The sequence below is a fragment of the Homo sapiens genome, chromosome 20 (genome assembly GCF_000001405.40).
Source record: "Homo sapiens chromosome 20, GRCh38.p14 Primary Assembly".
In the NCBI taxonomy this organism is placed as follows: Eukaryota; Metazoa; Chordata; class Mammalia; order Primates; family Hominidae; genus Homo; species Homo sapiens.
Window position 1 is genome coordinate 34,445,179 of NC_000020.11, and position 15,199 is coordinate 34,460,377.

The 15,199-nt window shown below is 38.8% G+C and overlaps 1 protein-coding gene across 15 annotated transcripts in view; it reads left to right on the forward strand.

Annotated features, from left to right (window-relative positions):
• Window positions 1-15,199, forward strand: part of ITCH (itchy E3 ubiquitin protein ligase) — a 148,501-nt gene that overhangs the window by 81,906 nt on the left and 51,396 nt on the right. For 14 of the 15 annotated variants that reach the window (NM_001324197.2, NM_001324198.2, NM_001257137.3 and 11 more), the window contains 3 exons: window positions 109-283; window positions 4,233-4,302; window positions 12,212-12,296. In NM_001324197.2, the coding sequence (NP_001311126.1) occupies window positions 109-283; window positions 4,233-4,302; window positions 12,212-12,296 (330 nt within the window). Of the gene's footprint in view, window positions 1-108; window positions 284-4,232; window positions 4,303-4,542; window positions 5,140-12,211; window positions 12,297-15,199 lie in introns of those variants that run through there. The other variant, XM_047440539.1, reaches the window with a different exon arrangement.

Sequence of the window (15,199 nt, forward strand, 5' to 3'; positions counted from 1 at the left end):
TAAAAGACTCCAGATAAATCAAAAGTAGTTTCTCAAGGTAAAATATTCTATCTGTTTCACAAGTATTTGTTGAATTAGCTTGTTTTTTTTTTTTTTTTTCTGATTTAGCTGGGAACGGCGGGTTGACAACATGGGACGTATTTATTATGTTGACCATTTCACAAGAACAACAACGTGGCAGAGGCCAACACTGGAATCCGTCCGGAACTATGAACAATGGCAGCTACAGCGTAGTCAGCTTCAAGGAGCAATGCAGCAGTTTAACCAGAGATTCATTTATGGGGTGAGCAGCCTGTTGTTTAATAAACTAATAAGAGTATTTTGTTTCTAGCCCCTTCCAGCATATGTCATGGAAAGCACTAAAAAGAAGGTGCAAGTAGCATGGCAACCCAGTTGTTGCTGTTAGTAGGTATTATTTTTAGACCTTGTCTGGGGTATTCTGTGTGTGATCTAGTTTTTCCTTTTTGTAATTTGCTTAAGTCCAACTTCCTCTTCTTTTTAATGTCAAAAATAAGCAAAAAATAAGTTAGGACAACTTAAAATTCATGAACAAAAGAGTAGTAAAAATAAACCCAAGCAGCTTGAAAATAATTAAAACATTTCTAAATTTACTAGTGCCTTGGGTCTAAGAGCATCTGACTCTAAAGTGGTTGTGCAAAACTGATGATAAGAGTTTAACCACTTTTTACCATTTGGAGATAAGGCTTACCTAATAAATTATTTGGTACTCTGGGAGACTGAAGAAATTTGATCCTTTATAGGAGTATGCTTACTATATTATTCTGGCTTTAAATCTTTATTATCTTTGATATAAAATCATTTCCCTTCTAGAAACAAATGGTTTAAATTTTACATATTTTCCTGTAGAGCAATATTGCATTAATAGTGTAAGTACTCCAAAATCTTCCTTTGCTATGCAGTCTTTGGTGCTAGGAATTTTATAATCTCTCAAGTCATACAGTATCATTGATCTTTTGTCTGGAGGAAAAGGAAAATAATCCATTGAGAAATTTGATTCTCTATGCCAAACAAGATGGATTTGTTATATAGAACCTAAACGAAGAAAATCAAGCCTTAAGGAGCTCAGGAGAAAATGCCCCCTCCATCACCATCTCTTCCCCTCCACTGCCATTGGTATCATCCCTGTTAGAATTCATCAGAGTAAAACAGCACCTTTCGTATTCCTTTCCTAACTAGGCATAGTTTTATCCCTTTTCTTCATATTCTTGTCTATTCCTTATACCTCATCATCATAATAGCACTCACTGCTGTAGACAAATTCACCTTTATCAGCAGCCTTCCCTTTGTTCCTTGGTTATGACTCAGGTACTTTTCTTTCATATAACAATTTTTTCCTGCCACTTTCTCTAAACAGTTGCTAACTATATTTCCCCTCCCAGTGGTTTTAAAGCTGAAATGAATTTTGTCTCTTGTGTACTTTACCCTTCTTTTCATTTTTTTTTCTATGCTGTTTTACATCTTCCTTCCTTTCTAAATTATAATCACCTGTGGTATGCCTGGCCAAATTTCTTCTAGGTTTGAATACCTAGCTTGCCTGCCTTCTTTAAAACTAGTTTCCACATGGGTGTTCAGTGGAAAGAGCATGGGCTTTGGAGTTAGACACATCTGGGTTCGAATCCTGGTTCCACAGTTACTTTCTCCATATGACTTTGAGTAAGTTACTTAACCTCATCAAGACTTATTTCCTTTATCTGTAAAATAAATACAGATATAAAATTGCCTCAGAGTTTTTCTGAGGATTCTTTAAAATAAAGTTCCAATATATTTGGCATGTACTGAATGCTTAGAAATGTTAGTTCCCATCTCTTCTCTCCTTCATATTCACCTCTGTATATGTACCCTTTATCTCATTTTTGCATTACACAATCTTTCAAAGCATTCTTTTAAAAGAGAGATTTAGCAGATTTCTGGAGCACCAACGGTGTGTTTTGACTACTGTAATCCTGACCGATTTAGTACTCAGAGTCTTTGGAATTTTTTTTTTTTTTTTTAAGTACAGCTTCTCCTTCATCATCCTGTCCCCCCGCCCAATCCAATATAATCTGAACAATTTTCTGAAATTTTTACTCTTTGTACTTGATGTGGAGTGGTTTGAAATTACATAGAATCTAAACAGCCTATTTTAGTTAACATAGCCAAAGATATAAGCTGAAGTGAATTAATTTAACATCCTTAATAACATTTACTTTAAAAATGATGGGGTGTTGCTGAGAAATAGTCTGTTTATTGAGTATATGAAGTGGCCTTTGTCCACCATTGTTGTTGTGACTCTTACTAGCATACAGAAACTGTCATACACCCAGCATTTTAAGTCTCAGAGTGGATATGGTTGACAGTAAAACACTGTGAAATGGTTCTTCCTGGTCCATGGCTTAATTGTGCATGTCCCTAGTTTATCCGTCCAGGGAGAGCCAGTGGGGTTGGCTTCAGTCTTAAAATTGTCAGTACAGTATGTCACGTGCCAAACTTTTCAGACCTCATCTGTAACTTGGGCTCAGACCTTTTGTAGTGTTTCCCGCTGGCCTCCCTGTTCTCACATCTTCTCATAATCATGTCTGTCAGGAGGAGCAAGGCAGTTCTCGACAGCACTAAATCCAAGAGTTATTATATCAGTAGTGTAATGTAGCTCATATCCTTTAAAACCTCATCAATCAACCAGGTTTCTGTAGTAGGCCGGTGACATGGGGTTGTAGGGGTGGGTAAAGAAACAAGAAGAGATAGCAGGGGAGCTGCTCTATATTGAGATTTAAGAGAAACAACCAAATGTAACGTAAGGACTTTGTTTGGGTCCTGATTTTAACAAATAAGCAATCATGCATTTAATTACAGATTAGGTATTGGATGATAAAATTAACATTGATTCTTTACCACATGTCATAATGACATTGTGATTATGTAAGAAAATGTCAGCCTGGCGCGGTGGCTCACACCTGTACTCCCAGCACTTTGGGAGGCCGAGGCGGGTGGATCACGAACAAGGTCAGGAGTTTGAGGCCAGCCTGACCAACATGGTGAAACCCGGTCTCTACTAAAAATACAAAAAGTTAGCTGGGCGTGGTGGCGCGTGCCTGTGATCCCAGCTACTCAGGAGGCTGAGGCAGGAGAATCACTTGAACCTGGGAGCCGGAGGCTACAGTGAGCCGAGATCGTGCCACTGTACTCCAGCCTGGGCGACAGAGTGAGACTCCATCTCAAAAAAAAAAAGAAAAGAAAATGTCCACAAATTTTAGAGAGACATACTAAAATATGTAGTAGAGGTGAAATAATGTTTGATTTTCGCTTCAACAAAGAACAGGAGAAAAGAGATAAAGAAACTTGGCAAAGTCTTGATAAGTGTTGAATCCTGGTGCTGGGTATGTGGGAATGTGGGATTCATTGCCCTGTTTTACTTGTTTTTTTTTTCTTCCCCATAGTGAAATTATTTTTAATGCAGTTAGACTCTTGTTTATCTTACTGAAGAAGAAAGGGTTTAACCAAATCTTACTGGGTGACCATGTAATTATCTCTACTTAATTATACATTTAAATCAAAACAGACTTAATATCTCTACACAGAGTCGGTGTGACTTTTGTTTTCTTTTTCCAAAGGTTGACTCTTACTTTGCTTTCATCTTATCTAGCCAAATCTTTCTCTCCACCAATGTGATCATTGGAAACAGAACTTTTAAGAAGTCTTCCATACAGTTCTAGGCTCATTAACACTTTCCAGCTGGAAACCTTTCCTTCCACTCATCTGGCAGCCCACTCTTCCTGTTCCCCCAACTCTCTTCTCATAATTCTTTGTATGTCACATGTTCTGTATTTGATCTTCTGTTTTTGAGTTACACATATAATATTTTTCATAGTCATATGATGATTCTGGGTACTGGTATTGTAAATGACTTTTGGGGGGGTTATATATTTTTCTAATTTTTATATTATTGATGTAAAATTTGTAGCACAAAGGAAAAATGGTCATTTTGGGGATGAGGATTACATATATGTGTAGTATTTTAATTTTAAATAATTTTAAATGTTAGGTAATGTTTGCACCGGTTTTTTTTAAACCAAACCAAAGTATATTGGCATTTATCCATAACCATGTGACACTTCTTTAAGATACAAACTCTCTGTGTTATACATTGCCAGGGAAGGGAAATCAGAACTCATAAGCTTGCTGTCAGATAAGTTGTTAAGTTGTTAATAGTTTCATCACTTTTTGGTTCTTTTTAGAATCAAGATTTATTTGCTACATCACAAAGTAAAGAATTTGATCCTCTTGGTCCATTGCCACCTGGATGGGGTAAGTCACATGAGTTTCTTCATGGAGTTCTGTCATTTCATTTTTGTTCTCTTCCAATTGTGTCATTTTAAAACAGATATTTATGTCTGATACTGTGCTCTTGCTTGAGTGAATGTCTGGGAAGTTTTTTTTTAATATATATATCAGTTTAATTCACAAATAGGCATTAAATTCCCCAAACATTAAGTGGACTCTTTATAAACTTTTATTGACGCTCATAATTATTTTACTCTTCTACAGTTTAAAGATACTGATCACCCAGCAATAAAAAAGGAATGGGCTATTGATACACCAGTAGGTCTGGGTGGACTTCAAGAGTAATTTGCTTGATGAAGAAAGTCAGTCTCAAAAGATCACAACCTGTGTGATTCAATTCATATAACATTCTCAAAATGACAAAACTAGAGATGGAGAACATATTAGTACTTGTCAGGAAACAGGGTAGGTGGGAAGTGGATTCAAATATTAAAAGGTAACATAAGGGGGTTTTACGTGATGATGATGATTCCATCATCTTGATTCCATCAAGATCCACAAGATGATTCTGTATCTTGATTTTGGTAATAGGTGATTACATTAATAATGTATACATGAGATAATGCATAGAACTATATATTTACAGAAATGAATTCAGCTTTTAAACATGGTGAAAATTTAACAATGTTTGTGGTTAACAATAATGTACCAATGCCACTTCTGTGGTTTTGATGCTGTACGTAGTTATATAAGATGTCACCATCGGAGAAAAATGAAGTATATGTGAGACTTTTTGTGCAATTTTTTACATCCTGTGAGTAATAATTAATTCAAAATAAAAAGCTTTTTAAAAAATTGTAATCACATTGGTTCTCCTAAAACAAGGTTCAGAGTTTGGTTAAGTTGGCATTATCTGATAGAAGAGTGGAAGGAGCACATGTGAAGGTGTCAACTTCATGCCCTACACCATGGAGCTCAAGAGCATGTGCTGTTATTGAGTATATCTGATACCTTAGTTATTAAAATAGACCTTAATAGACTTTAAGCTGGACCTACCCTACTAGGTTCTATTTTATAGTGTTATGTAATACTCACAGCATTATATAGCAAGGTTTCAGAATAAAGATGGCAGTATAGAAAGTTTTGCATAGAAGCAAGATAATAATATATTATAATAGAAAGTGGAAAACAACATAAAGCCCATTGTGGAACCAGAGTTTTGTCTTCAAGAGCTGAAGATACTTCATAATATTGGGATAAATTCAGAAAGTGATATTTCTAGATTGGGAAAAGTTGGTCCCCAAGATACATTGTTCTAGCAGTACTGAGTTATGGAGAAAAAATGTTGGTGTGTCAAGATCACATGAGTCTGGTTAATAAATGCTACTGGGGGTATAAGCTTTTCTTTGAGAAATCTCATTGCTCTTATTTAAAGGTATCTATTCTCAAAACACTTCTGTGAGTCAAAAAGGTAAAAAATGTATTAGGCTATACATATAACTGTTACTGTTATTAGCTTATAACAACAGGAGGACATATGAAAGTTGTGGGCCCGATGCAGTGACTTACACTTATAATCCTAACACTTTAGGAGGCTGAGGCAGGTGAATCGCTTCAGTTCAGGAGTTCAAGACCAGCCTGACCAACATGGTGAAACCCTGTCTCTACTAAAAATACAAAAAAATTAGGTGGGCTTGGTGGCCCGTGCCTGTAATCCCAGCTGCTCAGGAGGCTGAGGCAGGAGAGTCACTTGAACCCGGGAGGCGGAGGTTGCAGTGAGCCAAGATCGCGCCATTGCACTCCAGCATAGGCGACAGAGCGAGACTCCGTCTCAAAAAAAAAAAAAAAAAGAAATTAGCCAGGCATGGTGGTGCTTGCCTATAGTCCCAGCTACTCTTGAGGCTGACGTGGGAGGATCGCTTGAGCTTGGGAGTTTGAGGCTTCAGAGAGTCGAGATCACACTATTGCACTCCAGCCCGGGTGAGAGAGCAAGACCCTGTCTCAAAAAAAAGAAGAAAGCAAGTTGTGAATTTCTGTCTTTACCAAAGCTTGGCAGCCTGGAGTTAAGGAGTCCTCTGTCTCTACTGAAGCCTAAGAGTGGTCAGTGAATGGTTAGTATGAAGTACTTTAGAAGAGGGGATGTTGCCCTTACAAGGCATATTAAACTTAACCTGTCAGATTGCATTCCCAGACATGGATGGTTTTATTTCTAGAGTTTCCCAGCTTTATTTCTAGAGTTGTATGTCTTATGTTAGAGAAGGAGAAAAAAACTCATGCACTAAAATGATATATCCAAAGGATATGTATTTATCCTCTTAATTTTATTGCAGGCCAGGCATGGTGGCTCACACCTGTCATCTCAGCGCTTTGGGAGGCTGAAGTGGGAACATTGCTTGAGCCCGGGAGTTGGAGATCAGCCTGGGCAACATAGCGAAAACCTGTCTCTATAAAAAAATACAAAAAATAATCTGGGTGTGGTGGAACACCTCCTAATCCCAGTTTCTTGGGAGGCTGAGGTGGGAGGATCACCTGAGCCTGGGAAGTCAAGGCTGCAAGTAGGCCAAGATTTTGCCACTGTGCTTCAGCCTGGGCAACAGAGTGAGACCCTGTCTCAAAAAAAAAAAAAAAAAAAAAAAGTTGCAGAAAAACTATGACCTGCTTCATGGTTATGGTCAGAAACAAAACTGTTTTACTCCTTCTCTAGGGCAGGTGTAGAAAAAAATGCCTCTTGCTTATAGAAAGCTGAATTGTGAGCTGCGTTTCCTTTATCAGAAAAGTCTTTCCTGCAAGTTGGTCCTTGCCTTCTGTATTCATCATTTTCTTTATCATCCAGATCTTTCTCATTTTTACTTTAGCCAACAACACTTTGCTAAAATACTGTGTTAAAGATCCAGCTTAGCCAGGTTATTAGAGTCTTGTTCTGCTATTTTACAGTCTGCTTATTTTTAGGTTTCACATTCCTCATGTTGAAGTAGTGCTACAGATGTTTATGATTATCCTACTCAGACTGAGCACTGCTTTATGACTTGCTGCCTTTGGGGCATATACCTTACTTGTAGAACCAGTGACAGCACTGGTAGTATATCAGATGAAGCAACCCACCCAACATACCTTCAGGATTGACCCAGGTTGATAGAATCCCATCTTACAGCTTGCACCCTTTCAGACTTTTATATGCTGGGACTAGACATTCCTACCTCATAGGCTCAGTGAATAATTGGTTTTTTAGAGATGGGGGTCTCCCTGTGTTGCCCAGGCTGGGGTGCAGTGGCTGTTCTCCAGCATAGTAATTGCACACTACAGCTTTGAACTCCTGGCCTCAAGCAATGCCTCAGCCTCCTGAGTAGCTGGAATTACAGTTTTGTGCCACGATGCCTAGCTAGGCAGTGAAGAATTTTTAACACATGAACATACTATAGAGGATAAAGAACAAAGAATACTTTTGGTTCACCAGTATTATTTAATAGGGCTTTGTATAGGTGCTTCGCCAATCAAGTATGAAGATATTCTCTCATTTTCCTAGTTACTGTGAAAGAATACATAGAATGACAAGAAGTGTCTGTTTTTTACTGTTTTATTCATCAAGTCAGGAAGTGTTCTAATCTGCATTTGGATTTGATGTTCAGTAATTTCAGTATTGTTTATTATGTGATTTTTCAACAAAGTCAGAAATCCGTTCTACAGCCACAGCACTTCCTCTCATTAAGTAGATGAGCCTTCAGTTCACAAATGTGTCAAGGCTGATCTCAGCAGCATATACTTAGAATATATATGAGAAAAATGTTTGCTATTAATTTTCTCTTGCCTCATGTTATCTTCTGAAAGGAAAATCTTGGCCTGAAATCTGAACTTTGCTGACAGATAAAAGATGAATGGCCATTACAGTGGCTCACGCCTGTAATCCCAGTACTTTGGGAGGCCAAGGCTTGTGTCCAGGAGTTCGATACCAGGCTGGGGCAACATGGTGAAACCCCATCTTTACAAAAAATACAAAAATTAGTTGGGTGTGGCATGCCTGTAGTTCCAGCTACTTGGGTGGCTGAAGTGGGAGGGTTGCTTGAGCCCCGGAGGTCAAGGCTATAGTGCGCTGTGATTGTATCACTGCACTCCAGCCTGGACAACAGAGTGATACTCTTTCAAAAAACCAAAAGAGAGAGAAAAAAGTTGAGTATGTGCTCAGCTATATACTTAGGGTATTATTTTTAGGTTATAAAAATTATTTGGATATATATTTTTAAACAAGAAAGAGAATTCTGGCTGGGTACGGTGGCTCATGCCTGTAATTCCAGCACTTTGGGAGGTCGAGGCGGGTGAATCACCTGAGGTCAGGAGTTCGTGATCAGCCTGGCCAACATGGTGAAATGCTGTCTCCACAAAAAATACAAAAATTAGCTGGGAGTGGTGGTGGACGTCTGTAGTACCAGCTATTTGGGAGGCTGAGGCAGGAGAATTGCTTAAACCTGAGAGGTCGAGGCTGCAGTGAGCTGAGATCGCGCCACTGCACTCCAGTCCAGCCTGGGTGACAGAGCAAGGCTCCGTCTCAAAAAAGAAGAAGAAGAACAAAGAGAGAATTCTGGATTCTGCAAATAAATTTTTAAAATTTAATGCGACTGCCAAGACATGAACTTATCTTGCTGTTATGTTAACAAGAGCAAGCTGTAACACTGTGGGTGATTATGTTTTTCTTTTTTTTTTTTTTGAGACGGAGTCTCGCTCTGTCGCCCAGGCTGGAGTGCAGTGGCGCGATCTCGGCTCACTGCAACCTCCGCCTCCCGGGTTCACGCCATTCTCCTGCCTCAGCCTCCCGAGTAGCTGGGACTACAGGCGCCCGCTACCACGCCCGGCTAATTTTTTGTATTTTTAGTAGAGACGGGGTTTCATTGTGTTAGCCAGGATGGTCTCGATCTCCTGACCTCGTGATCCGCCCGCCTCGGCCTCCCAAAGTGCTGGGATTACAGGTGTGAGCCACCGCGCCCGGCCTATGTTTTTCTTTAGAGACAGCCTTTGAGTTGGTGATAAGCTTATGCACTGAAGATGCCTTGACCAGCAAAACCTGTGTCATGAGAGGCAGAGTCCCACTTTTCTGTATATTATGCACATTGGAATTCTATTTTCATTTTAAGCTAAGCTGACATAGAAAGTAGCTTTAAATGTCAGAAGCAGGTTTGTGATACTCACTAGTTACATCCATTTTAACCTCTGTTATCACTACTACTTGAAATCATGGAATTATATTGGAAATAAAATTAAATATTACCAAATACGAACTTGACAAGACTATAATTTGGCCTAAAACTGATCCAGATGATCTCAAGTGTTAATTTGAAAAATAGTTACCAATTTTTCTTTTTTCTTTTCCTGTTTTTTTTTTTTTTTTTTTTTTTTTTTTTGAGATGGAGTTTTGCTCTTGTCGCCCAGGCTGGAGTGCAATGGCATGATCTTGGCTCACTGCAACCTCTGCCTCCCGGGTTCAAGCGATTCTCCTGCCTCAGTCTCCCTAGTAGCTGGGATTACAGATGCCCACCACCATGCCCAGCTAATTTTTGTATTTTTAGTAGAGACGGGGTTTCGACCTGTTGGCCACGCTGGTCTCAAACTCGTGACCTCAGGCCATCCGCCTGCCTTATAACTCCCAGAGTCCTGGGATTACAGGCGTGAGCCACAGCGCAGGACCAATAGTTAACCAATTTTTCAAACCACAGGAAATAAAAATTAGCCATGTCAACATGGATTAAACTTAAATTTTTGTTTAAAATGCTGATTTTTAGAAACTAAGCTTTTTAAAAAGTTTCAGTTCATTCTATGATCTTTAATACATCAGTTCATTCTATGATCTTTAATACATCAGTTATTCATTTTGAGACATGTTGAACAAATAAATTAGGATACAGCAGGAATCCCATCTTTTGAAGAATTCATTGGTAATGGGACAGAGAAGTCAGTAATTCAAAAACAGCAGAACTGTTAAAATTTCAAGTCTACTTAATTTGTTTACTAAAAGAGAAAATGATATCCACATTTTTTTTTTTTTTTTGAGACGGAGTCTTGCTCTGTCGCCAGGCTGTAATCCATCTCGGCACACTGTAACCTCTGCGTCCCGGGTTCAAGCAGTTCTCCTGCCTCAGCCTCTCGAGTTGCTGGGACTACAGGTGCACACCGCCATGCCTGGCTAATTTTTTTTTTTTTTCTTTTTTGTATTTTAGTAGAGACGGGGTTTCACCATGTTGCCCAGGTTGGTCTTGAACTCCTGAGCTCAGGCAGTCCGCCCGCCTCTGCCTCCCAACGTGCTAGAATTACAGGCATGAGCTACTGCGCCCGGCCAATATCCACATCTTCTAAACCTTAATGGGGAGATTTCAGGAAAGCAGGTAAAATTTTGTAGACTGGGAACACGAAAACAGGGAGAATCCTAAAGCAAGAGGCAGTTGGGGAACAAGCAGCAGCTTTAGATGCAGTAATTAGAGAACTGAGTTCTGCTTCCTATCCCTTGTATAGAAAGTTACTGTAGATATTTAGGATTTTGGAACTGGGTATATTAAGGAACGAGATATGTTAAGTGTATTAAGAAAGGAAGTATTTTTTAGTTGAATAATGCCTAGCATATACCTTATATTATATTCCTTATTTTGTATATATATGTATGTATATATACACACTCTCAAATTACATTATATTCCTTATTTTATATATATTTTTATATATTGTGTGTGTGTGTGTGTGTGTGTGTGTATATATATATATATATATATATATATATATTTTTTTTTTTTTTTTTTTTTTTTTTTTGAGACAGGGCCTCACTTTGTCACCCAGGCTAGAGTGCAGTGGCATGATCTCAGCTCACTGCAGTCTTGACCTCCCAGGTTCAGGTGACCCTCCTGCCTTAGCCCCGGAAGTTGCTTCTCTGTCCCATTACCAATTAATTCTTCAAAAGATGGGACTCTTCTGGTATCCTAATTTTTTTATTTGTTCAACATGTCTCAAAATGAATAACTGATGTATTAAAGATCACAGAATGGATTCAAACTTTTTAAAAAGCTTAGTTTCTAAAAATCAAGTTGTACAAGTTGTGGGGCTAAGGCAGGAGGATCACCTGAACCTGGGAGGTCAAGGCTGTAGTGAGCTGAGATCACGCCACTGCACTCCAGCCAGGGTGACAAAGTGAGACCTTGTCTCCAAAAAAAAAAATATATATATATATATGTGTGTGTGTGTGTATTTATATATACAAATGTATATTTAATATATATCAAATATATATATTAGTGGGCTGCCAGCACGGCCCACTAATTTTTTTGTATTTTTTGTAGAGATGAGGGTTCACCATATGGCCCAGGCTGGTCTCAAACTCCTGAGCTCAAGCAATCTACTTGCCTTGGCCTCCCAAAGTGCTGGGATTACAGGCCTGAGCCACCCCGCCTGGCACCTTACTATATTTTAATGAATGAAATGATGTAGTATGGAAAAAAAAAAAATCCCTAAATGGAGACCTGAGTTTCCATCTCATCTCTGCTACTTAATTCTGAGGTTTCAGGTAGATTATTTAACCTATCTGAGTTTTCTTATCTTAAGGATAAAGATGAATTCACCTACCCTATGGGACTATTAAGAATAAAATGAAGGTCCTGTGTAAAAAACTAAATAACTGTTCATTATTCTTGCTGCTGTTGGTTGGATTGAGTAGAAAGGTCCTATGGTTAGGACATTATAAAGTACGTCTACTTAGCTTCTAAGATGTAATATTTCTATAACTTCAGTAAGGATGTGCATTTAATAGTCAATAAATTAAACCTTTTAAAGCTGTGATTTAAAAACTATAAAATAAACAATGAAATGAGAAATGGGCAAATTCAAATAATTTTATTTTACCTTGAGCAAGAAGACTATGCCAATGCTAATGCTTTGCTTTCCCCTGCCCCTGCCCTTCCCAAAGAGAAGAGAACAGACAGCAATGGCAGAGTATATTTCGTCAACCACAACACACGAATTACACAATGGGAAGACCCCAGAAGTCAAGGGTAAGAATAGTTACTTGTGTATATTTAATCTCTTAAAGATTATACCTTATTTCTAACAACTGAAGAAGATCAAAGTTCATATTCTTTTGCCAAAGACCTAAAACGTTAATCACCTACATACTTTGGAAAGAGAAAATTATACTATTATTTTCATCTAATGGAAAGTTTGAAGATTTCTTCAAAGTGCAGGAAAAAACTTTAACTGGGCATGGTGGCTCATGCCCATTATCCCAGCACTTTGGGAGGCCAAGGAGGGAGGATTGTTTGAGGCCAGGAAGACCTGCGTAATGCAGTGAGACCCTGTCTCTACAAAAAAAATCCCCAAAATTGGGTGTGTTGGCATGTATACCTGTAGTCCCAGCTACTCGGGAGACTGAGGTGGGAGGATCACCTGAGCCCAGGAAGTCGAGACTGCAGTGAACTATGATTGTGCCAGTACACTCCAACCTGGAGGACAGGTTGAGGGCTGTTTCAAAAAAAAAGAAAACAATAGAAAAGCAAAAAAAATTATCTGGCACATGAGAATATACTTATTAACATATATATTATTTTTAATTACTAAGAACAGATTAGTGATTCTAAATCAGGGTTTCTTAACCTGAGATCACTGGTTAAGAATCTAGGGTATGTGGTTTCAAGGAGGAAGAAAATACATACTCAGTTTCATTACTCTTTACTGGAAATTTAGTATCTTCTTCCATTATGAATGTAGGCTACTACCATGTAGGATTAAGAATGCCTAGGAGTTTGCCATCAGTAGAAGTCAAAGGGTGTTAAAAAATATTCTGTTGTTGTTGCAGATATCTCTAAATACTTGTTTACACACATAATTACAAGGACTTGCTAATTTATTAATAAAGAGATATATGTACATTATCACAAAGGTCTCCCTTTGTTGCCCAGGCTGTTCTCAAACTCCTGTCTTTAAGCGATCCTCCTGCCTTAGCCTCCTGAGTAGCTGGGATTACAGAAATAATGTTTTGACAATTATGTATATATAATGGTTTATCTTTGTAACATGTTATAATAGTATGCATATTAGTTTGCTAGGGCGCCTTAACAAAGTACCACAGAGGAGGTTGCTTAAACCATAGAAATGTATGTCTCAGGGTTCTGGAGGCTAGAAGCTTGAGATCACGATGTCAGCAGGGCCATGCTCACTCAGAAGATACTAGGAAGAGATCTGTTCCAGGTCTTTCTCCTGGCTTCTTGTAGCTCCTTGGCTTGTGGCAGCATGAATCCAGTCTTCACATGGCACTCTTCCTGTCTGTATGTCTATCTGTACCCAAATTTCCTGTTTATAAGGACGTCAGTCCTATAGGATTAGTGGCCCACAGTACTTCAGTATGACCTCATCTTGATACATCTGCAGTAACTCTGTTTCCAAATAAGGTCACATTCTGAGTTATTGAGGGCCAGGATATAAACGTGCATTTGGAGGGAGGACACAGTTCAACCCATAACAGTCTGTAATACTATGCATTTATCAGACTGCCAGAGGGTTCCATTCTGCAAGGAATTTGGCAGACTGTACAGTCGGAGGGCACAGTCCTCCACAAAACTGCTGCCCTCACTTCAGACATCAGCGACAATATTGGGGGTCCACAGGATGACTCCAGACCAACTGTCTACAAATTTGGGGGCCCCCACCACCACTCTTAGGTATGATAAGTTACTAGAAGTACTGAGAACTCATTGAAACCTCTTATAGTCACATTTATTCTAGAGAAAGAATGCAAAATAAAATCAGCAGAAGGAATAGGTGCACAGGGCAGAGTCTGGGAGGCTCTGAACATCCAGCATTATTGTGGGACAGTACACATTGAGGTCGAGTATCACCAACCAGGGAAGTCTCTGGTATCTAGGGTTTTTATTGGGGCTTGATCACGTACTGCCCTCTTGGCTGACCTTTTGTCTCCAGTCCTTACTGGAGATTTGAGCTAATGCCCTTTAGTCTCTAGTTCCTCCAGAGGTCGGAACTGATGCTCCATGTCCCACAGCCTTGACTGTCCAGTGATCAAAGCCTCCAGGCAAACAAAGATATTCCCAATACGCAGTGCATTCCAAGGGCCTAAACATCACTACCAAGTTGCTGAGGGCAAAGGCCAGACCTCTCTTTTGGTATAATTATAATTTGAGAACAGATATTCCATGGCTCAAAAGTTTTAAAAACTTTTGTTCTGAAGGTATGGTTTAGGTTGCACTGAGCTGAGATCATACCACTGCATTCCAGCTTGGGCGACAGAGTGTGACTCTGCCTCAAAAAACTAAAACTAAAAATAAATAAAAAAAGATATGCTTTCAACTTAAAATAGTTTTTTCTGCCTACCAACAAATGACCATTTTCTTTTTAAATGGAGTTACTGCATTTACTTAAATTTATTCAGTTTCCATAAAGGAAGAATGAAGAATTTCATAGATAACATTTTCTTCCTCTTTAGAATTTTCTAAGAATAGAATTGAAGAAGTCACCTTTCTATAATTTGCTGCCATTTTTTTGTTTCCTCTTAGATGTTTAAAGTTTTATAGCTAAAGTTAGAATTCTGCTTTAACAACACAGATGACCTAGTTCTATCTAATTTATTTTCAAGACAACAACTTGTTACTGAGCCTATCTTGCAAGTATAACAATTGAGAATCCTCTTTTTTACATTTTTGGTAGTCTGTTTTATCTGACATTTGTATTCAGTTAAGTGAATACAGGTTTGTTGTTGTTGTTGTTGTTGTTGTTTGAGACAAGGTCTCAGTCTGTCACCCAGGCTGGAGTGAAGTGACATGATCATGGCTTGCTGCAGCCTTGACCTCCTGGGCTCAAGCAATCCTCCTGCCTCAGCCTCCCAAGTAGCTTGGACTATAGGCATGGGCCACCACACCCAGCTTTTTTTTTTTTTTTTTTTTTGGGT